The sequence below is a fragment of the Homo sapiens genome, chromosome 8 (genome assembly GCF_000001405.40).
Source record: "Homo sapiens chromosome 8, GRCh38.p14 Primary Assembly".
Classification (NCBI taxonomy): domain Eukaryota; kingdom Metazoa; phylum Chordata; class Mammalia; order Primates; family Hominidae; genus Homo; species Homo sapiens.
Window position 1 is genome coordinate 33546987 of NC_000008.11, and position 20846 is coordinate 33567832.

Below are 20846 nucleotides of genomic sequence, written 5' to 3' on the forward strand. Positions count from 1 at the left end.
TCCAGAGACTCTGTCACCACAAAACAAACAAAAAAAGAGAGATCAGAGCCTCTATGGTAGCAACCTCTATGGTATAACTAAAAGGTAGACCTTTTTAGTTGTGACTAGTTGTGTTAAGGGCACTGACAATTGCTTAAATTACAAGTAGAATTCTTAGTTTCAAGTCTTAGTCGACGGAATGCTGTGATTGAAAATACCAACTTCCTTTAAAAATATGCTAGAAATCAGACGGAGCCTGGTTTAGCAAGGTCTTAATGTACCTTGTGTTAATCCTAACATATATTGTTCAGGTAATAACCTAAGATCGATTTTTGTTCCTAAGGATTAGGAACTTTTAGGCTGAGCGCAGTGGCTCACATCTGTAATCCTAGCACTCTGGTGGCTGAGGTGGGAGGATTGCTTGAGCCAAGGAGTTAAAGACCAGCCTGGGCAACATAGGGAGATCTAGTCTCTACAAAAAATTTTAGAAAATTAGCCAGGCACACGCCTGTGGTCCCAGCTATTCGGGAGGTTAGGTGGGAGAATCACTTGAGCCGGGGAGGTTGCAGTGATCTGTGATCATGCCACTATGCTCCAGCCTTGATGACAGAGTGAGACCCTGCCTCAGAAAGATAAAAGTAAAGACATTTAAAAAGGATCAGGAACGTGTGTGTGTGTGTATGCGTGTGTGTTTGATTTGGGTATGGAAAAGTGAGAAGAGGCAGTTTGAGAACTTTTTTCCCTCTACTGGCAGAAAAGGGCCAGGCAGCCACAACCACAAGCAAAAGTAGGTTAGAGAAACTTGTTATTAAATTTATTTTTCTTTAAATATGTAACTTTCTCCCACCCTCACCCACTCCAGGGAGGAACAGAAAATCCCCACCCCCTTCCATTCTGGAGATTTCGTATCTAAAGCCTGAGAGGCGAGGATGAAGTATAAAAATACTATTTACAAAGGGAAGGAGGTATCTGTTGCTTAACCGTAGACACCCCCATCCCCACACCCCTTTTGATCAAAAAAAAAAAAAAAAAAAAAAAAAAGGCCCCTGGGAATCAATTTAAGTATAGAACTAGCCCTCCTCTAGAGGGGCCCACAAACCTCAACATGGAATAGGAAGCTCCGAGATTAACTGAGGAAGAGACTGAATGGATAGCACCGTGGGTCCTGGCAGGGGAAGGGCCCTCTCTTACTCTGGAGTCAGCTGGCGCCCGCCAGCCTTTGTTTCCATAGGTCCCATGTAAACACTGACATTTTCCTTTATGTCCCTGCTCTTCTGTTTCATACAGAGCCTCCCTCGCCTCCCGTGGAGGCGCTTGGTTCCTTGATCTTTCCTTCCTTCCCTTCTAACCTTACTCCGGAAGGAGTGGGAAGGGGAGGGAAGGTTGTAGAGAGGTAAGAGCCCGTCTCATCCCTTCTGGGTCAAGGCAGCTCATCCTCCTAATGGGAGCCTTGAAAGAGGACTTTCTCCATGTTCTTGATCGGGGTGGACACCTTCCCCCAGAACAGGGACAAGGCAGGTAGATAGTCCAGTACCAGGAGACAGTGGTCTTGATGGGTGAGGCCACCAGCATGGAGTAGCAGGGAAGAAGGCTTCAGGAGGCAGGAAGTGGGGGCACATCTGGCACTGGTCTTGCACTGAGGGTAGAAGCCCAGTCCTAGACCACCCTTCTCATCACTGGGAAAGTGATCGTCATCACCCTACAGTCCTGTTGGTTGGAGCTGTGCAGAGGGACCAGACATCCATGAGGCAAGAGGTCTTCTCCAGGTCTCGGTGTAGCGGCAGCACTCACACCAGCTCATCCAATAGAATCCCAATGTTCTGCGTGGCCTCTGAGGGACTAGCAATGGGCTTGTTACACATGGGGCAGACACAGCGAACTTCCAGCCATTTCACCAGACACCTGAGAACAAATGAGGAATGGTAATCTCTAACCAGACAGACCACGCTGCTCCAGTTGTCTCTCAAAACAAGAATATCCCGTGGTGGCTCACAACTGTAATCCCAGCACTTTGGGAGGCTGAGGCAGGTGGATCACCTGAGGTCAGGAGTTCGAGACCAGCCTGGCCAACATGGTGAAACCCCATCTATACTAAAAATACAAAAATTAGCCAGGCATGGCGGTGGACACCTGTAATCCCAGCTACTTGGGAGGCTGAGGCAGGAGAATCGCTTGAACCTGGGAGGCAGAGGTTGCAGTGAGCTGAGATCGCACCATTGCACTCCAGCCTAGGCAACAAAAGCAAAACTCCAACTCAAAAAAAAAAGAAGAATATCCCTACCCCTGTCCCAACCTAATCCCTCTGGGCTTTGCTCGGTGTTCACGTAGGACCTGGGGCATCACGGATAAGGGGCAAATAGAAAGTGGCAGAGACTGGAAGTTTCCAGAAGATGCTCCCTGATTATTTCTCCTTCGACGGGCACCCTGGACACATTCCCACGTACTTGCGGTGAAAGGCGTGTTGGCACGGGAGCACGCCTAACTCATCCTTCCCCTTGAAGTCTTCCAGACAGACTGCGCAGGTCTGCTGCAGAGAGAAAAGAGCAGGTGTGTGAGGAACTGGGGAACCATCTCACTCATTCAACCCCAGACAAGAAAACTAAGCTCTAGCCTAGTCTGTTCTACCAGGCAGAGAAACTTTTTAGCCATCCTTTACAAAACTATATTGATGGCATGGTAGTCATTAACCATATGTGGCTGTTTAAATTTAAATTAACCAAAATTAGATGAAATTATAAATTCAGTCCCTAGTTACACTCACCACATTTCAAGTGCTCAACAGCCACATGGTTTCCATATTGAATGGCATGGATATAGAACATTCCTATTATCACAGAAGTTTCCACTGCACTGGAAATTACTGTCCTAGAAGAATGGTTTTCAATCCTTTCTTGCCCAATACATTTGGTGATGTGGCACTTAATACCAACTAGAGGTAGGATGAGGGCATGGTATATGTGATCAGTTATGTTTTTTTTTTTTTTTGAGATGGAGTTTCACTCTTGTTGCCCAGGCTGGAGTGCAATGGTGCAATCTTGGCTCACTGCAACCTGCACCTCCCAGATTCAAGCAATTCTCCTGCCTCAGCCTCCCAAGTAACTGGGATTACAGGAATGTGCCACCACACCCAGCTAATTTTGTATTTTTTGTATAGATGGGGTTTCACCATGTTGGTCAGGCTGGTCTCGAACTCCTGACCTCAGGTGAGCCACCCACCTCGGCCTCCCAAAGTTCTGGGATTACAGGCATGAGCCACCGCACCTGGCCCAGTTACATTCTTTAAATCCAGACTTCCCACATCCCTACATATTAACTCCCTTGATCTCAGTTGAATTATTCTCTGAGAGAAAGGCTTGGGAAACATCAGCACTTGCAGAGGTGTAATAGACAAAATGAGGCCACGTCTAGGCAGTCTCATGTTTAGTGGAACTGTGATCCGCTCTGCTCCCAGACAACCACAAACATGCTCTGAGTAGGAGTGTCTGTGGTCATGAACAGGAGCCTTGGGAAATGGGTTAGGTGACCTTAGAGGCATAGGTAGGAAAGGAATAGGATATGACTAATTCCTCAAGTCAGAGTTGAGGGGACTCAAGGAACTGGTGTATGGGTGGGAGTGGGGTGGGAGAGAAATGGCAGAGCCACAGGAATGAACACACTAGTCAGATCTAGTCTGTTAAGATGGGGTATATACAAAAGTAAAAGGACCTCATTTCCTATGATAACAACCAGGATGTAGGGGCTGAACATAGGGAAAGTTAGCTGAATTCTGTCTATGGCATGAAAGGGTACGACCATCCTCCTGGTAAAAATTATGTATTGTGGGACTCCTGGGGCTGTGGGGCACTACTTATCTAAACCCTTCTGTGATCCCTTCATGTCTTCTGCCTGAGGCTGTTCCAGGTGTAATCAATTCCACATATTAATTACTTGCTGAGATGTGTCTCCATTATTTGGCCAAAGGAGATATGAAGGCATGGACTAAGCAGTTTTCTGAAAAGCGTCCAGGCAGAGAACTGGAGCAAGGTGCTGTCTGCCTCACCTGCTGGGGCCCTCCTGCACACTTTCCTGGCACACTTACCCCATATAATTGTAACTTCTTGGCATCACCTTTAAGCACCACCTGAAAAGAAAGAGGAGGCATGATGTCCAAAGAAGAACCAACCACTGGGGCCAGCCAGGTAGTATCAACCAATGAAGGGAGTCCCCTGGACTGCCTGGGGCAAGCCGGACTTCAGACACTGAAGGGGTTTAGCCTCAGGGAGACCCAGAGGTGAGGCCAGGGGGATTCCTGCCCAGGAGAACCTGAGCCTGCCCTCCTTGCCTCTTCCTATCAGGTCAGGCAGAGAAGGAAGCTTCTGGGAAACACGCAGCACTTTACCTCCTTATATCCGTATCGCTCACTCTGTGCCTGGTTCCGCAGTTTGCTGGGAGAAAGAGAAAAAAATTAGAGAAAGCAGGTTAAATGGAACAATTCAAAGCAGGAGAGGCTGGCTGGCTGCTTGGGCATTCTTCCGAGGGCAGGGAGGGGTGCTTGTCCCATACACACCACAGGGCATACTTTGGACCTATGCAAGCCAACAAGGGTTGATAAAGGACTAAGACTGTTACTCGGGTTTGACAGCCTCAAAATTCACCACCAGGTCTCATACACAGATTGGGGGACCCTCCAGCACAGCATCCCCAAATAGCTCATTCACTCACCCTGCCTTTTTCTGGTCGGCAAATTCCTTCAGTCACCAAACTACATAGAAATCAACACTGTGTTTACTGAGTGTGCGGAAGTTAGACAGATATGCATAAAAGGGTTATTTCTGTTAAGCCAGGATAGCAGAATAAGTCTCTGTTGACCCTGGGGAATTTTCCACCCGGAGAACATAAGTATTCTGGAACCAAAGCACACTCTTCCCTTCACTGTGCCGGACAACACAGACGATGCCTCCTTTGTTTTCTTCTTTTCATTTTAAGCTGGTGGCCTGCAAACGGGCTGACTCTCAATGGCCAAAACATGGCATGCCGTTACTAATGGCAATAGCATAATATAATGGTTATGAAGTACTTGCTATATGTCGCTGGGACACTTAACATATTCATATATGTTCTTAATGATTCCAAACTCCAAGAGTGAGATACCTTCGCTTTTACAGATAAGAAAAATAAAGCCTGGCTGGGTGCGGTGGCTCATGCCTGTAATCCCAGCACTTTGGGAGGCCGAGGCAGGTGGATCACTTGAGTTCAAGACCAGCCTGGCCAACATGGTGAAACTCCGTCACATTAAAAATACAAAATGTGCCGGTGTGGTGGTGCATGCCTGTAATCCTAGCTACTTGGGAGACTGAGGCAGGAGAATCGATTGAACCCAGGAGACGGAGGTTGCAGTGAGCCGAGATTGCGCCATTGCACTCCAGCCTGGGCAACAAGAGCGAAACTCTGTCTCATAAAAATAAAAAAAGAAAAAGAAAAAGAAAAATGAAGCCCAAAGAAGTGAATTTATTTGCCTAAACATCACAGAGCTAATTGGTAGCAGAGTCTAGATTTGAATCAAAGTTGGTGTGATGACAGAGTCCAAGCTCTTTACCATATAATGTGGTCTGTTCCCCTAATCAGGTGGAATACATCATAGTCCTGAGAATATGATCTGGTCTTGGGACACACCCTACCTTTTATTAAGTTTACAACTCTGAATGGCTTGCTGTGCAAATGGCCGAGACCATAATTATACACTGGATTTTTTGCCGTATTATTTTCAAGGAAGGGATGGAGGATCTTACATGCTGAACTCTGCAGGTAGCTTTAGAATGCCTCCTGTATGTGGGTTGGGTGGGATGGCTCATGCCTGTAATCCCAGCATTTTGGGAGGCCGAGGTGGGCAGATTGCTTGAGCTCAGGAGTTTGAGACCAGCCTGGGCAACATGGCAGAACCCCATCTCTACAAAATGTACAAAAATTCACAGGACAATTCACACGGCATGGTGGCATGCACCTGTAATCCCAGCTACTCAGAAGGCTGAGGCATAAGCATCGCTTGAACCCAGGAGACGAAGGTTGCAGTTAGCAGAGATCGCACCACTGCACTCCAGCCTGGGTGACAGAGCAAGACCCTGTCTCAAAAAAAAAAAAAAAAAAAAGAATGCCTCCTCTATGTGTGCTATGGGGGAACCTTATGGAGCTTTTCCTGGTGATCACTTCTAAACACAGTCCTGGGTTATTTGGAAGGAAACATAGAAACCCAGCAAGCCAGGAGAAGCAGGAAACTTTAGTCTGAGGACCAAATCCAGCTCACTACTTGTTTTTGCAGGGTCTAGAGGCTAAGAGTGGTTTTTATTCTTAAATGGTTGAAAACAGAAATAAAGAATAATGCCAACTCAGGTGGATTGCTTGAGGCCAGGAGTTTGAGACCAGCCTGGGTGACACAGTGAGAACTTGTCTCTTCAAAAATAAATAAACAAAAGAAAATTAGCCAGGTATGATGGTGCATGTCTGTAGTCCTGGCTACTTGGGGGGTCTGAGGCAGAAGGGTCCCTTGAGCCCAAGAGTTCAGAGGTTACAATGAGCTAGGATTGCCCCCACTGCACTCCAGGCTGAACAACTGAGTGAGACTCTGGCAAAAAAATTTTTTTTAAATAAATAATTAAAATAAATAAACAAATGAGTGGATAGATGGATGACTGACCCAAGTCAATAAAAGGAAGGCTCCAATCACAAACAGCCCCAGTGGAAGGGGGTGGGGTGAGAAGCTGAAGCTGCTCCCTGGGTAATGGAAGAGGCAGAAGATGGGGGCACAGCCAGGCCCGTAGCACAGTGCAGGGCAGATAAGATCAGGCTGCCAGCCTCCTCCATTGTTCCTGATAGGAAGTCAGGTGTCCTGGCGAGGTTCATGTTCCTGGAGCCTCTTGAGAGCTCCAGTCCAAGTGGACTCATGCCACGGGCTTGGGCACTGGGGCAGCCCATCCACCGTCCCCTCCCCTCCCACCTCTCCCCACAATATCCTTTCTGCTTAAGGCAGGGCTGGGCTAAAGGCCTAACCAAGGCTCCCACTGTCTCATCCTTCACTTTGCAGAGAGCTCCTTGGTCCAGAAAAGGTCTTTGTACATACACATGTGTCTCTGTTCCAATTTCCAAATGAGCAGGGCAGGACATACCCAACGCTTAGGTGGCTACTGTTGCTTGACTGACACTGGGTTCAGCAGAGGTGGGAAGGAAGTGTTCCCAGGGACAGGGAGCTCACAGCGGCCTTGAGGGAGAAAGACACTGTTGCTCTGTTATGAGGCACGTGCAGAGTAAATAAGGAAGTGGTGAAAAGCCTGTGTTTTTAACTGTCTGGGGAATGAGTGATTGCTATGCATCTTTGAGGCACCAATGTCTCACCTGCAATGTGGCTATACTTATGTAGCAGATGCTGTCTTTTTCTGTTTTCTGTACCCCAGGCACCTAGAGTACCACTTCCCCACCCATCATGCCTCTTGTCTGGCTGGATCCTTTAGTGGTTTTGCCCAGGGATCCTCCAAAACTCAGAACAGGGAGGGGCATCAGAGCTGCCCCCTCATCCTGCATACAGATTTCAGCTCAGAAAGGATGAGATCATGATGAAATGTGGCCGAAAAGCTTGCAAGGAAACCAGAGCAAAAAGCAAAAACCCTGGGCAATCCCAGCTGGGGACCTAGTACCAACCAGTCTGGACAGGTGGCCTTCTCAGCTGTTGGGTGAACACAGCAACTAAAAATACCCTGATTTCAATGAGACCATTTCTAGCCGCTGCCAGTGGGCTCTCCCTTTCCTCTTTTCCCTTTTAGAACAAACAATGCAGCCAGGTCCTGAAAATAATGTTTCCCTTCCTGCCTATTTGTACTTCCCCGGCCCCTCCATTCCTGTGTAGGGCAGAGGTCAGCTCTGAGAGAGGGGGAAGAATGAGCGAGGGGCTGGCCTTGGCCGCTGAGCTCACCAGGTCAGAAGTGGGGCCTATTTTGGCTGAGGAGGAAACCGAGAAGCAGGGAGAGGAAGTGGTGGCTTCTGCGCCTGTGTGTCTTTCTATATATAGACATTCACAGGCTACCATGTACCAGTGGGCCTCTGAGACTGTGAAACTCCAGGGTCAGCAGGCTTCAGGCAGGCTACAGACCAGGGCAGGGTGACGAAGGAGATTACTAAAGGAACAGGTGGTGCTCAGTAGCACCACAGTGGGGTCAGCTTTTAGCATCATGTGGTTACTGTTCTGTTTTTTGTGTTTTTTTGGGTTTTTTTTTGTTTGTTTGTTTTTGAGAGGGAGTTTCACTCTTGTTGCCCAGGCTGGAGTGCAATGGCATGATCTTAGCTCACTGCAACCTCCACCTCCTGGGTTCAAGTGATTCTCCTGCCTCAGCCTCCCAAGTAGCTGGGATTACAGGTGCCTGCCACAGCACCCGGCTAATTTTTGTATTTTTAGTAGAGACAGGGTTTCACCATATTGGTCAGGCCAGTCTCGAACTCCTGACCTCAGGTGATCCACCTGCCTCAGCCTCCCAAAGTGCTGGGATTACAGGCGTGAGCCACCACGCCCAGCCCTGTTCTGTTCTTTGACCACAGCCAAAGAAAAAGAAATCAGCAATTCACAGCTCTCAAACCTGTCCTTCTGCAAGAACAGATCCTGACCTGCAAGGGGGTGGTTGTGGAGCCTATAGCGGCTCCTCTACTTCAAGGAATATGACTCAAAAGGCAAACACTTGGAAGGACTCGGCAAGACCCTAGCTCATTGCTACCAGACTTGTCCACCTCTGTATCTTCCTCTATGTATCACCTTGGGCAGATCCTGAACAGTCTGAGCATGAAATTCCTCATTTATAAAGTGGGTCAATACCTATACTAAGGATTAAGCGAGCTAAATGTTTTTTCAAATGCTGACCACAATGCCTGGCCTATGGAAAGCCCTTGGTAAAGAGTGGCTAAAGGCCGGGCACGGTGGCTCATGCCTGTAATCCCAGCACTTTGGGAGGCTGAGGCAGGCAGATGGCTTGAACTCAGGAGTTTGAGACCACCTTGGGTGACATGGTGAAACCTCATCGCTACAAAAAATATAAAAATTATCCACAAAAAATTAAAAAATTAGTTGGGCATGGTGGCACACACCTGTACTCGGGAGACTGAGTTGGGAGGATGGCTTGGGCCCGGGAGGTGGAGGTTGCAGTGGGCCGAGATCTTACAACTGCACTCCAGCCTGGGCAACAGAGCAAGACCCTGTCTCAAAAAAAAAAAAAAAAAAAAAAAAAGAAAACCTAAGGTCACACCTATTATTGGTTGATTTACGAAATGAACTCTGGTCACCCACTTCCTAGCCTAGAGTAGTTTTCTCTAAGTCATTTTTGTAGAGATGGAGTTTTGTTCCCAAGGCTGGTTTCAAACTCTTGGACTCAAGCGACTCTCCTGCCTTGACCTCCCAAAGTGCTACAATTACAGGCAAGGGCCATGGTGCCCGGCCTAGATGGTCTCTTGAAGCCCTTTGCCGCTTGGCATGTGTATGCTTCTGTGTGTGTGTGGTGGGCAGGGGGAGCAGGGAGGAAAGGGACCAAGGAGAGTTGGTTTTACAAACCCCTCTCAGCCTCATCATAAAGAAATCTTTGGTATTTGGTGTATCTTCATCCCTGTCTCCAGGATTTAAGTGTGAATTGCTTAACACGGGTGTGCGGGAGTGGGCAGGTTGGTGGTCAGGAAGAATTCAAGGAAAAAAACAGGCTTCAGGAAAGGGGAGGAGACAGGAAGAGAGGAGAGATACCAGAAATCTACCCTCATCTCCGCTTAATGGTTAGATGCAATCTTCAGACCCAACTGTACAAGAGGGAAGATAAACCAGTATCTCCTCTGCATAGATTTTTATGTGGAAAATTCTAGTTTCAGGGACCTGTGTGAAAAGTTCTGAGAAAGAACAGGTCCAAGGTAGCACCTGGGAGTGGTGGGGAGATGTGCCTGAGGGCACTTCCCCTTCTTAGAGGGAGCTCTTCCAGCCTTGGAGAAGATGGACTAGTACCTGCCTCTCTTGTAGCTGCCTTCTAGCAAAGCACTCAAACCCAGAAGGGCATCTTAGGAATAAAGCCAGCAAAGCCTTTTCCTTAATCTTAATTTAATCTTCTTAAATTATTTGATCAGTCACCAGCCCAGACCACAGCTGATGTCTACCCAAGCATTTGGTAATGTGTGGGTGGCGGGGGAGACAGCTAATGGCCACAATGGCCCTAAAGACTACTAGTATGCCCTATTGGCCAGGGATGTTCAATATTCTCCAATGTACAGAACAGTCCCATACAATGAGGAATTGTCAATGCCAACAGTAAACCCCAGTCAGAAACACTACTACTTTGATTCCCATTCTAAATACCAGTCATGCTCAAAATTTTTTATAGAAAACAGCCACCAGAGGCCGAGCACGAGGGCTCATGCCTGTAATCCCAGCACTTTGGGAGGCCGAGGGGGGTGGATGACTTGAGGTCAGGAGTTCGAGACCTGCCTGGCCAATGTGGCAAAACCCCGTCTCTACTAAAAATACAAAAATAAAAATTAGCTAGGCATGCACCCATAATTCCAGCTATTAGGGAGGCTGAGGCAGGACAATCGCTTTAACCTAGGAGGCAGGGGTTGCAGTGAGCCAAGGCTGTGCCACTGCACTCCAGCCTGGGTGATGAAGTGAGACACCGTCTCAAAAAAAAAAAAAAGAAAGAAAGAAAAAGTAAAAAGAAAACAGCCACCAGTCCCCATGTCCTTCAACAAGAGATAAGAGAAAGCGTTCCTGGAGTGTGGCGAGCCCTGCCAAACTCCAGGTCTTCTCTTGGATCCCTAAGCAATCAAGAATAAATGACAGTTTTTTAGGTTTGTTTTGGTTTTTTCCACTCTCAAAAATAAGAGCTTATAAGGCGGAATAAACAAGTAGCTCCGCCCGGGTGTGGTGACTCATGCCTGCAATCCTAGCATTTTGGGAAGCTGAGGTGGGTGGATCACTTGAGCTCAGGAGTTCGAGACCATCCTGGTCAACATGGTGAAACCCCATCTCTACTAAAAATACAAAAACTAGCCAGGCGTGGTGGCGTGCGCCTATAATCCCAGCTACTTGGGAGACTGAGGCAGGAGAATTGCTTGAACCCAGGAGGTGGAAGTTGCAGTAAGCTGAGATTGCACTCCAGCCTGAGCATCTCAAAAAAACAAAACAAAACAAAAACCAAGTAGCTCTCTAGACACCGGCTTGCTTCCTAATATTAGTATCTGGAGGGCTGACAACAGGTCCCAGGAGGGCAAAGGAACATGACGCTGGCATAACTGATGCCCACCTGTTCCCGACCACCCAAAGGGCATGAGTAGGAATAGAGACAGACAGACAAGGAAGGGACCACTAACTTTATTACTCAGTCACACAGTAATTCTAGGCAACCTTAGAATAATTGGCGAGGAGGTGGGATGCAGCCCAACCCGTGGTGACCTTATATGCTCAGGAACAACTTGATAGGCTAATGTAAATAGAAACACCAGATCCTCAGGGGCCTAGAGAAGGGCAGGCTCAGCCGTGTCCTCAAAGTGGTGGCTCCAGTATAAGACTGGTGACTCTGCTGTGGGACCCTCGCTCAGCTTACCCCACAACCCTGGTCTCCTCCCTCCTGCTGGACTCCCACCCCGGTCAGCCAGGGATCCACGCACCTGATAAAATAGCAGCAGAAGATAAGGCTGAGCATGAAGACAAAGATGCCTGTGCCGAAGATGACCATATAGATGTTGAGCGGAAGGTCCTGGAAACTGATGGGTGGCATCGAGCAGGACTTGTTGGTGCTAACCAGTCCCAGGCCACAGAAACACCCTGCAAAGGGAGAGAAAAAAAAATCATTAGGGTTGGAAATTTACTGCTGGGCTGATAGCACTGTGTCAGCAGGATAGAAATAACTGGCAGGCTCTGGGCACCTAAGCCTCAGATTCAGTGGCTCCAGTTTTATATCCTAGTTCTAACATTTACTAGCTATGTAATCTTGAGTAAATCTGATCTACAAAATTGAATACTATCCAAAATACTTAAAACAATATCCCCATCTAAGGGACAATAAATTCAGGCAAGCTGGGTGTGGTGGCTCATGCCTGTAATCCCAGTACTTTGGAGAGGCTGAGGCAGGTGATCTCGAGGCCAAGAGTTCAAGAACAGCCTGGCCAACATAAGACCCCATCTCTAAAAAAAAATAGAAAAATTAGCTAGGCATGGTAGCGCATGTACTACCATGTAGTCCCAGCTACTCAGGAAGCTGAGGTGGGAGGATCACTTGAGCCCAGGAGTACAAGGCTGCAATGAGCGGTGATTACACCACTGCACACCAGCCTGGGTGACAGCGTGAGACCCAATCTCTATTTTTAAAAATTAAAAAAAAAAAAGAATTTAGGCAATGGGCAGAAACTGGAGAGCTTAATTCCATTAGGTAGGAGCCCATATTGCCTTAGCTGAGAAAATATTATTTGGGTTCCAACTCCCCCATCCCTAGCTAGCCATATGACCGTTAAGAAATTACCTCTAAGCTTCACTTTGTTATATGAAAACAAGCAAAATAGAGAGAGGAATGAAAATGAGCGCATAAGAAAATATGCTTTGTAAATTGCAAAGGACAATTGCAAAGGTCATTTGTCATTATTAAGCCACCTGTTCCAGAAGACAAGCCATGCCAGGACTAGAATAGAAATTATTCACTCCAAGTCCTGGGCCAGCATTCCAGAAAGTGGCGATGGGGGTGGGGAGGAGGTTGCAACTTCCCTTACTGTGGTCACCTTCCCTCTTTCTCCTCAAAGTCTCAATGTGTGGTACCAATGGCAGCAGCATCCTCTGGGAGCTTTTTAGAAACATATACTCTCGGGTCCATCCCTGCCTAACTGAATCAGGACCTACGCTGTTTTTTTTTTTTTTTTTTTTAAACAGAGTCTTGCTCTGTCACCCAGGCTGGAGGGCAGTGGCGTGATCTTGGCTCACTGCAAACCCCGCCTCCCAGGTTCAAGCGATTCTCCTGCCTCAGCCTCCCGAGTAGCTGGGATTATAGGCGCACGCCACCATGCCCGGCTAATTTTTGAATTTTTAGTAGAGATGGGGTTTCACCATGTTGCCCAGGCTGGTCTCGAACTCTTGACCTCAGGCGATCCACCCACTTTGGCCTCCCATGGTGCTGGGATTACAGGCATGAGCCACGGCACCTAGCCAGGACCTACGTTTTAACAAGCTCCTCAGGTGATTCCCCTGCACATTCAGTTTGAAAAGCACTGGCCAGCCACTAGATGCATCCCTTCTCACAGGACTCAGGGATAAATACTGACTGGCCTACTCATCATGATAGTCACCTCTCCCTTCCCCCCTTGCCAGTATTTGGTGTTCAGGTGGGTACGTAACCAGGTTCTGAGCAAAGAAACAAAGAGATCTGCTGGAAAAGGAACTTTGCTTGTTTGTTTTTGGAGACAAGGTCTCACTCTGTCCCTGCAGGCTGGAGTGCAGTGGTGTAAACATGCCTCACTGTATCCTCCAACTCCTGGCCTCAATGAGATCCTCCTGCCTCAGCCCCACAAAGGGCTGGGACTATAAGCATGAGCCACTGCACCCGGCAGGTTCTTTTTTTCCTTTTTTTTTTTGTGAGGGGGGTCATGTCTCTCAGAGACACCTAGAATTGTGATAGCCAAGCTGTAGCTGGAAAGAGCAGCTCAGTAGAAAGTCAAATGCTTGACCAGGCATGGTGTCTCACGCCTGTAATCCCAGTACTTTGGGAGCCCGAGACGGCTGGATGGCTTGAGGTCAGGAGTTTGAGATCAGCCTGGCCAACATGGTGAAACTCCATCTCTATTAAAAAATTAGCTGGGCATGGTTGCACACATCTGTAATCCCAGCTACTCGGGAGGTTGAGGTAGGAGAATCACTTGAACCTGGGAGGTGGAGGTTGCAAGTGAGCTGACATCGTGCCACTGTATTCCAGCCTTGGAGACAGAGCAAGACTCCATCTAAAAACAAAAACAAAAACAAAACAAAAAAAGTCAAATGGCTGAGGATGGCAGAAGGGAAAGGGAAAGAGGGGAGTCCTTGATGAAAGGGAGAGCTGGAATTTGCTGTTCACCTGCTGCATCCTAAGCACATTCTCATGCTATCAATTTAATCTTTGTACTGCCACAGTAAAGGTTACTTCCCCCCGCCAATGGGAAAAAGACTCAATCATTTAGTAACTCGCCCACAGTCAAACAGCTAGGAAAGCCCAGCTCCAAAGGGTTCTCTGTACCCAGGCCTTGGGTTCTAGGCACTTTCCTGACATCTTGGTTAGGAGCCAGGATGCATTCACATGCCACAGAATTCTATACGCTAATAACCAGTGCTACTACAACTCAGCAGAAGGTGGCTTGAAAGACTGGAAGTCAACTTGGACATCAGTCCTCCTCATCCCTTACTGATGACTATATAACGAGCCTCCATTCAAACCTCTTTCAGGCTGTGCCCAATTCTACTGCCACAGCCCTATTGTAAACACTCATCACCTCCTACTGTTTCCTAGTTGATGTCATCCCTGTTTCTAGTTCCTTCTCTCATTTACCCCACACGCCTGACACATCCTCCTAGTTGCCTTTTTTTTTTTAATTTTTTTTTAGACAGTCTTGCATTGTGTCACCCAGGCTAGAGTGCAGTGGCACTATCTTGGCTCACTGCAACCTCTGCCTCCTGGGTTCAAGTGATCCTTCTACCTCAGCTTCCTGAGTAGCTAGGACTATAGGTGTACACCACCACGCCCAGCTAGTTTTTGTATTTCTAGTACAGACTGGGTTTCACCATGTTGGACAGTCTGGTCTTGAACACCTGACCTCAAGTGATCCACCCGTCTTGGCCTCCCAAGAAAGTGCTGGGATTACAGCGCATAAGCCACTGTGCCCCGCCCTCTCCTTGTCGTTTTGATCTTGTATTTTACAAACTCATGACTGGCTTCAAGTCCTCCTAAAACATTCACCCTGTCCCTTCACAACTTCCTACTTAAAAGTTCTCCAATACTACTCCATGTGGGCCAGTCTTTTTCACTATTTCTTGTACAATCTTGTCCTTGCCTGCTTCCCTGTCTTTGTTTACACAGCTTTCCCTGCCTGAAACGCTCTCTCTGAGGCCCATCAAGCCTGTGATAGTCCAATAACCTCTCTTCCTTCAATTCTACAGCACTCATGACCTCCATCATTTGTTCGGCCCCTACTTACTCAGTTAACTGTCTTACATCGTTCCTAGCATTAAGTTACTTTAACTCAAATGTGCATTAAGCATTGATTATATGGTAAGTACTATTAAAAGAAAGCACAGGCCGGGTGTGGTGGCTCACACCTGTAACTCCAGCATTTTGGGAGGCTGAGGCAGGAGGACCGCTTGAGGCCAGAAGTTCAAGACTAACCTAGGCAACATAGTAAGACCCCCACCTCTACAAATAATAATAATGATAAATTAGCTGGGTGTGGTGGTAAGTGCCTATAATCCCAGCTACTCAGGAGGCTGAGATGGGAGAATCACTTGAGTCTGAGAGGTCGAGGCTGCAGTGAGCCACAATTGCACCACTGCACTTAGCATGGGCCAGAGTAAGACCTTGTCTCAAAAAAAAAAAAGAAAAAGAAAAAAAAAAGATTAGATGATCTGATGATCTTACCACATAGGAAAAAAAGACACAAAGATTTTCACCATAGAAAGTGAGGCTCAGGCCAGGTGCAGTGACTCACGCCTGTAATCCCAACACTTTGGGAGGCTGAGGTAGGCAGATCACCTGAGGTCGGGAGTTCAAGACCAACCTGGCTAACATGGTGAAACACCATCTCTACTAAAATACAAAAATTAGCTGGGTTTGGTGTCTGGCACCCGTAATCCCAGCTACTCGGGAGGCTGAGGCAGGAGAATTACTTCGACCTGGGAAGCGGAGGTTGCAGTGAGCGGAGATCACACCACTGCACTCTAGCCTGGGCAACAGAGAGAGACTCCCGTCTCTAAACAAAACAAAACAAAAAACCTGGGCATGGTGGTGCACACCTGTAGTCCCAGTTACTCGGGAGGCTGGAGCAGGAGAATTGGTTGAACCCGGGAGGCAGAGGCTGCAGTGAGCTGAGGCAGAGGCTGCAGTGAGCTGAGATGGCGCCACTGTGCCCCAGCCTGGGCGACAGAGTGAGACTCAAGAAAAAAAGAAAAAAAAAAAAAAGCCTGAACCCTCCTAGGTTTGCTGACTCCAACTTGGACTTTTGTATATTCTCCAGTGTCCGGCCTAGCCTAGAGTTTGGCTTGTTCTCAATAACTAGTTAACAGATAAATAATTCCCCATTTTCTTAAAATAACCTGGTCCCCTTGGCAAAACCTCCCACTTCAAAGCAGCAGGACTGATGTTTGGGAAAATTGCCCAGAAACTGCCCTCCGCTAATGGATCACCAGTCAACCAGCAAGTATTATTGAGGGCTTGCTTTATGCACTGACCTACACATTGTGGGAAAACAGAAAGTAGAAGTTCTTGTTGTGAAAGACTTTTTGATTAAGTTGAAATGAAAGAAATAATTAGCTACTAAACTTTGCTGTGCCCAACAGGAAGTTCCTTGTGTCTAGGCTCTAGTAGGGGTTAGAGAGAAAGTGCTTTTCACCACCAGTCCCCACCCAAATATTTACTTTCTGTGGGTCAAAGAAGAACAATTTTCCATGAGGACATCATGGCAGACTGGCTAGAGTGACAAACTTCAGTCTATGCTGGAAAAGGGGCTCAGGACTTCCCTTCCAACAAGACCTGGTGCTCCCAGCTGTTTTCTCACCTCCTTCCCCCGCACTATTTGATGTTACAAGAGGGTCTAACCCCCCGTTTCCTTAGTTCTTCCAGGCACCTTTTATGAGCTGAAACCTCCTTTGGTTTCCAGTTCTGGGAACTTGCAGAACCTGGTCAGAGCTATTACAGAGGATATCTGTGCACTCCACAAGCACGATGGTCCCCGCAAGTCCTCTGATCAGTTTATCCCCACCAACTTATCCTGCCTGATAAAGGCTTCCCCTTTATCTCCCACTGATTGAATCAGTGAGCTTGGTATTTCACGTGATAAAGAGGTCGGTGGGAAGAGCATAGTCAAGAGGAGATGGTTCATTTGCTTGTGTTACTATTAAAGAAATGGCAAAATAGTCTACTGGTCAAAAGCTGACACTGTAGTAAGTTTTTCTTTAAAACTGTATAAGGACAGAGAATACCAGCCCCAGGAAAGAGGGGCTCCAGGTAGTTTCTGAAGGGGTGAGGGAAGGGTTGCTTCTTCACAGGAGTCAAAGGACAGGATCTCTCAGTCACTTTTCTAAGAAGTGCAAAGAGGGCCAGACAAGGTGGCTCCTGCAGGTAATTCCAGCATTTTGAGAGTCCGTGGTGGGAGGACTGCTTGAGCCCAGGAGTTCAAGACCAGCATAGGCAATGTAGTGAAACCCTATCCCCAAAAAGTAGATTAATTAATTAATTAATTAAAAATTAGCCAGTAGCCAGGTATGGTTGCACACACCTGTGGTTCCAGCTATGCTGGGAGGCTGAGGCAGGAGGATCCCTTCAGCCTGGGAGTTGGAGGCCGCAGTGAGCCCTGATCGTGCCACTGCACTCCAGCATGGTTGTCGGAGTGAGACCCTCTCTCAAAAAAAAAATTAAAGTAGGCTGGGCGCAGTGGCTCACGCCTGTAATCCCAGCACTTTGGGAGGCTGAGGTGGGCAGATCACCTGAGGTCAAAAGTTCAAGACCAGTCTGAACAACATGGAGAAACCCCCTCTCTACTAAAAATACAAAATTAGCCGGCCATGGTGGCACATGCCTGTAATCCCAGGTACTCGGGAAGCTGAGGCAGGAGAACCGCTTGAACCCGGGAGGCGGAGGTTGTGGTGAGCCGAGATCACACCATTGCACTCCAGCCTGGACAACAAGAGCGAAACTCAGTCTCAAAAAAATAAAAAATAAAAAATAAAAAAAATAAAGCAGCAAGTCTAAAATCTGATATGAAAGGGCGCTGCCCAGAAAGGGCAGTGTTACTGACAGCTGCCTCATTTCTCCCTAAGTCTCTGTTCCATTGTCTCGGCCAACCTATGAAAGCACTGACATCAGAATGTCTCATCTCATCTGGCAGGCTGGGAGCAGGAATGACGTCAGACAAGGGCTGGCCAAGAAAGACCAGGGGATCTGGGAACTGCTTCTCTTTCCCAGCCAACGGGAATCTTTCCCAGATGCTAGGGTGCAAGGGCCTTCCTCAACCCCCATCCTCTGCCCCCTCTCCCACAAAACCGCCTATCACACACGGCTTGGTTCATTTTCAGGAAATGAGATCCGACCAGCAAAAGGAGGAAGGCGGGGTGGGGGGATGTGGGGTATACATGCTACCCAAACCCTGCCTCAAAACAAAGCCTCTTGACATAATTAATCCAAGATCTGGCAGGAGTCTACTCTAAAGAATGATTTTTTTCCCCCTGTAACTAGCTCGCTTGCCATACTGAGAGATAAGGCCAGCTGCTTCCCATCTCTCTCTCCCAGAAACTCTCCAAGCATCGGAACAACGCGGTCAAGACTAGGACCCCAGGAGGACTGGAGCGGGTGGGGTGGGGGGCGATTAGTATCCAAGGTTTTGAAGTGTCCCGCTCAGAAACACCTACCTTTCAGGTAGCTCGCTGAGGAATCAGACTCCAGCCTAACCCAGTATCACCTGAACCTCCAAAAAGCCTCAGGTGAAATGAACTAACTTAGAAGCATCACCCAGGCCTGGGGAGAAATGGGGCGAGGGGTTGTCGCGTCTGGAGGTGTGGCCTTCACTTGGGCTCAGGAGCAGACACCCTAATCTGGCCTTGTGGCCAGAAACACGGCTCCCGCCAGGCCAGCCTCGCACCCCAGGGACAGCCGGGCGCGGAGCTCTCTGCGAGGGTTTATCAACTCAGGAAAACGGCTTTTTTTTAGATGGAGTTTCGCTCTTGTTGCCCAGGCTGGAGTGTAATGGCACGATCTAGGCTCACTGCAATCTCCGCCTCCTGGGTTCAAGCGATTCTCCTGCCTCAGCCTCCCAAGTAGCTGGGCTTACAGGCATGCGCCACCACTCCCGGCTAATTTTGTATTTTTAGTAGAGACGGAGTTTCTCCATGTTGGTTAGGCTGGTCTCGAACTCCCGACTTCAGGTGATCCGCCCGCCTCGGCCTCCCAAAGTGCTGGGATTACAGGCGTGAGCCACCGCGCCTGGCCGAAAGCGACTCTTTAATCCAGTCTTCCGCAAGCACCCAAGCCACGCCAGCAGCCCGTGGGAAACCAACAAAGCCAGAGGAAGCTACCCCCGCGCCCAGTCCCGCACGCTGCACGGTATACATATTTACAATAGCCTGCAAAGTTTCAGGCCGGGAACTTGAGCTCCCTCTAGGAGATCCCAGCCCGAGTGCGGATTTAATTCTCCTCCAACAACCACAACAAAGAACAGAGTTTGAGCGCACAAAGGCAGGGGAAGGGGGTAGAAGAGCCGGGCCGCCACACAAAGGCCGGGAACCCCTCGGCTCCCACGCCCCCGGCCCGCCGCCAGTCCGGAGGCCCCTTCCAGGCTCTGGAGTGAAACCTGGATAGTTTCAAATTCCGCGCTGTGCAGAGCAGAGTGGGGCGCCAAGACGCCTTCTCGACTGTCCCATTTCAGGAGAAACTTGGTTCCCGAGGGAGGACCAGCGCGCTGCTGTCCGACCTCGCACCCCGCGCCGCGGCTCCCACCAGCCCCACGTAGGCTCGGCCCTCGCCCCGGGGACTCACCGTTACACCACTGGAATGGGTGCATCAATGAAGTCGCGGTTGGCTTCCTCGGGCGAACGGACGCAGGCGGGGTGCCAGGAGGGCGGGGTGGGAGCACTAGCGGCGTGAGGGGCCGCAGGCGGGGTCGGGGCAGCGCGCTGCAGCCGCCCTGCTGGAGAAGCCGAACTCCCTCCGGAGTGGGGGGCTTTGACGAGGCTGGTGTTCAGCCCAACAAAGAGGGACGAGGAGGAAACAAACAAAGTCCCGCGGAGCACAGCCGCACGGAGCGCACGCGCCAAGGGCCCCGGGCTGGGGGAATGTGGGGCGCCGCGGGGCGGGGGTGCCCGGGCTGCAGAAGCCCTCGGCCGGGGGAGGAGGGAAAAACCTTTGCCGGAGGCTCGGATCGGGTTCAGCGGCGCAGAGGTGAGCTGGCTGGGGTTCCGAAACTGACACCCGGCGGTGCACACCCCCTCCCTTTTACTTCCCCCACCAGTCCCCAGGAAAACTCCGCCCCTTGTTCGTCACCCTCCCTCCGACCAATCGGAGCCTTTCTCCTGCCCCCGGCTATTATTTGCAGGCCCAGCCTCCCTTCCCTGGAAGCCGGGAGGATCTTCGCACGGTGGGCGCCTCCCACTTAGTCTTCCCAGGCCTGGGGAAACTTCGGTCTGCAGAGAATGGAGCGGCGACGAGCGATGCCCCGGAGTGGGGGCCTGCCTTTTGCCCAGGGACACCAAGGCAAAGGAACAATTACTGCCACATTGTTTTCCGCCTACAGATCTGTTATTTATTTACTTATGTATTTGGAGGCAGAGTCTGCCTCTATCGCCAAGGCTGGAGTGCAGCGGCGCGATCTCAGCTCACTGCAACCTCTGCCTCTCGGGTTCAGGTGATTCTCCTGCCTCAGCCTCCTGAGTAGCTGGGATTACAGGCGCTTACCACCATGCCCAGATAATTTTTGTATTTTTAATAGCGACGGGGTTTCGCCATGTTGGACAGGCTGTTCTCGAACTCCTGGCCTCAAGTGATCCTCCTGCTTCAGCCTTCCAAAGTGCTGGGATTATAGGCGTGAGCCACCGCTCCCGGCCCTCTTTTTCTTTTTTGAGTTAGAGTCTTGCTCTGTCACTCAGCTGGAGTGCAGCGGTGCAATAATAGCTT

At 49.1% G+C, this 20846-nt stretch overlaps 1 protein-coding gene across 2 annotated transcripts, besides 5 other annotated features; it reads right to left on the reverse strand.

Annotated features, from left to right (window-relative positions):
• Positions 1-767: 767 nt before the first annotated feature.
• RNF122 (ring finger protein 122) lies at positions 768-20142 on the reverse strand. Of its 2 annotated transcripts, none has more exons than NM_024787.3 (6): positions 19713-20142; positions 11629-11785; positions 4358-4403; positions 4058-4099; positions 2424-2506; positions 768-1881 (listed from the first exon to the last, which is right to left on the reverse strand). In NM_024787.3, exons 1-6 carry the CDS (start codon positions 19735-19737, stop codon positions 1767-1769), a joined length of 468 nt encoding a protein of 155 aa, NP_079063.2. In that variant the 5' UTR covers positions 19738-20142; the 3' UTR covers positions 768-1766. The 2 variants fall into 2 exon arrangements, with proteins under 2 accessions (NP_079063.2, XP_016869335.1); XM_017013846.2 differs by lacking the exon at positions 19713-20142 and adding an exon at positions 18590-18919.
• Positions 14552-14721: an enhancer, noted in NCBI's record as "active region_27222". NCBI's record gives its function as "activates an Ori minimal core promoter by ATAC-STARR-seq in GM12878 lymphoblastoid cells {active_cell/tissue: GM12878}" and the evidence as "EXISTENCE:reporter gene assay evidence [ECO:0000049][PMID:35858748]".
• Positions 19517-19566: a silencer, noted in NCBI's record as "silent region_19100". NCBI's record gives its function as "represses an Ori minimal core promoter by ATAC-STARR-seq in GM12878 lymphoblastoid cells {active_cell/tissue: GM12878}" and the evidence as "EXISTENCE:reporter gene assay evidence [ECO:0000049][PMID:35858748]".
• Positions 19707-19756: a silencer, noted in NCBI's record as "silent region_19101". NCBI's record gives its function as "represses an Ori minimal core promoter by ATAC-STARR-seq in GM12878 lymphoblastoid cells {active_cell/tissue: GM12878}" and the evidence as "EXISTENCE:reporter gene assay evidence [ECO:0000049][PMID:35858748]".
• Positions 19787-19856: a silencer, noted in NCBI's record as "silent region_19102". NCBI's record gives its function as "represses an Ori minimal core promoter by ATAC-STARR-seq in GM12878 lymphoblastoid cells {active_cell/tissue: GM12878}" and the evidence as "EXISTENCE:reporter gene assay evidence [ECO:0000049][PMID:35858748]".
• Positions 19907-20026: a silencer, noted in NCBI's record as "silent region_19103". NCBI's record gives its function as "represses an Ori minimal core promoter by ATAC-STARR-seq in GM12878 lymphoblastoid cells {active_cell/tissue: GM12878}" and the evidence as "EXISTENCE:reporter gene assay evidence [ECO:0000049][PMID:35858748]".
• Positions 20143-20846: the final 704 nt, after the last annotated feature.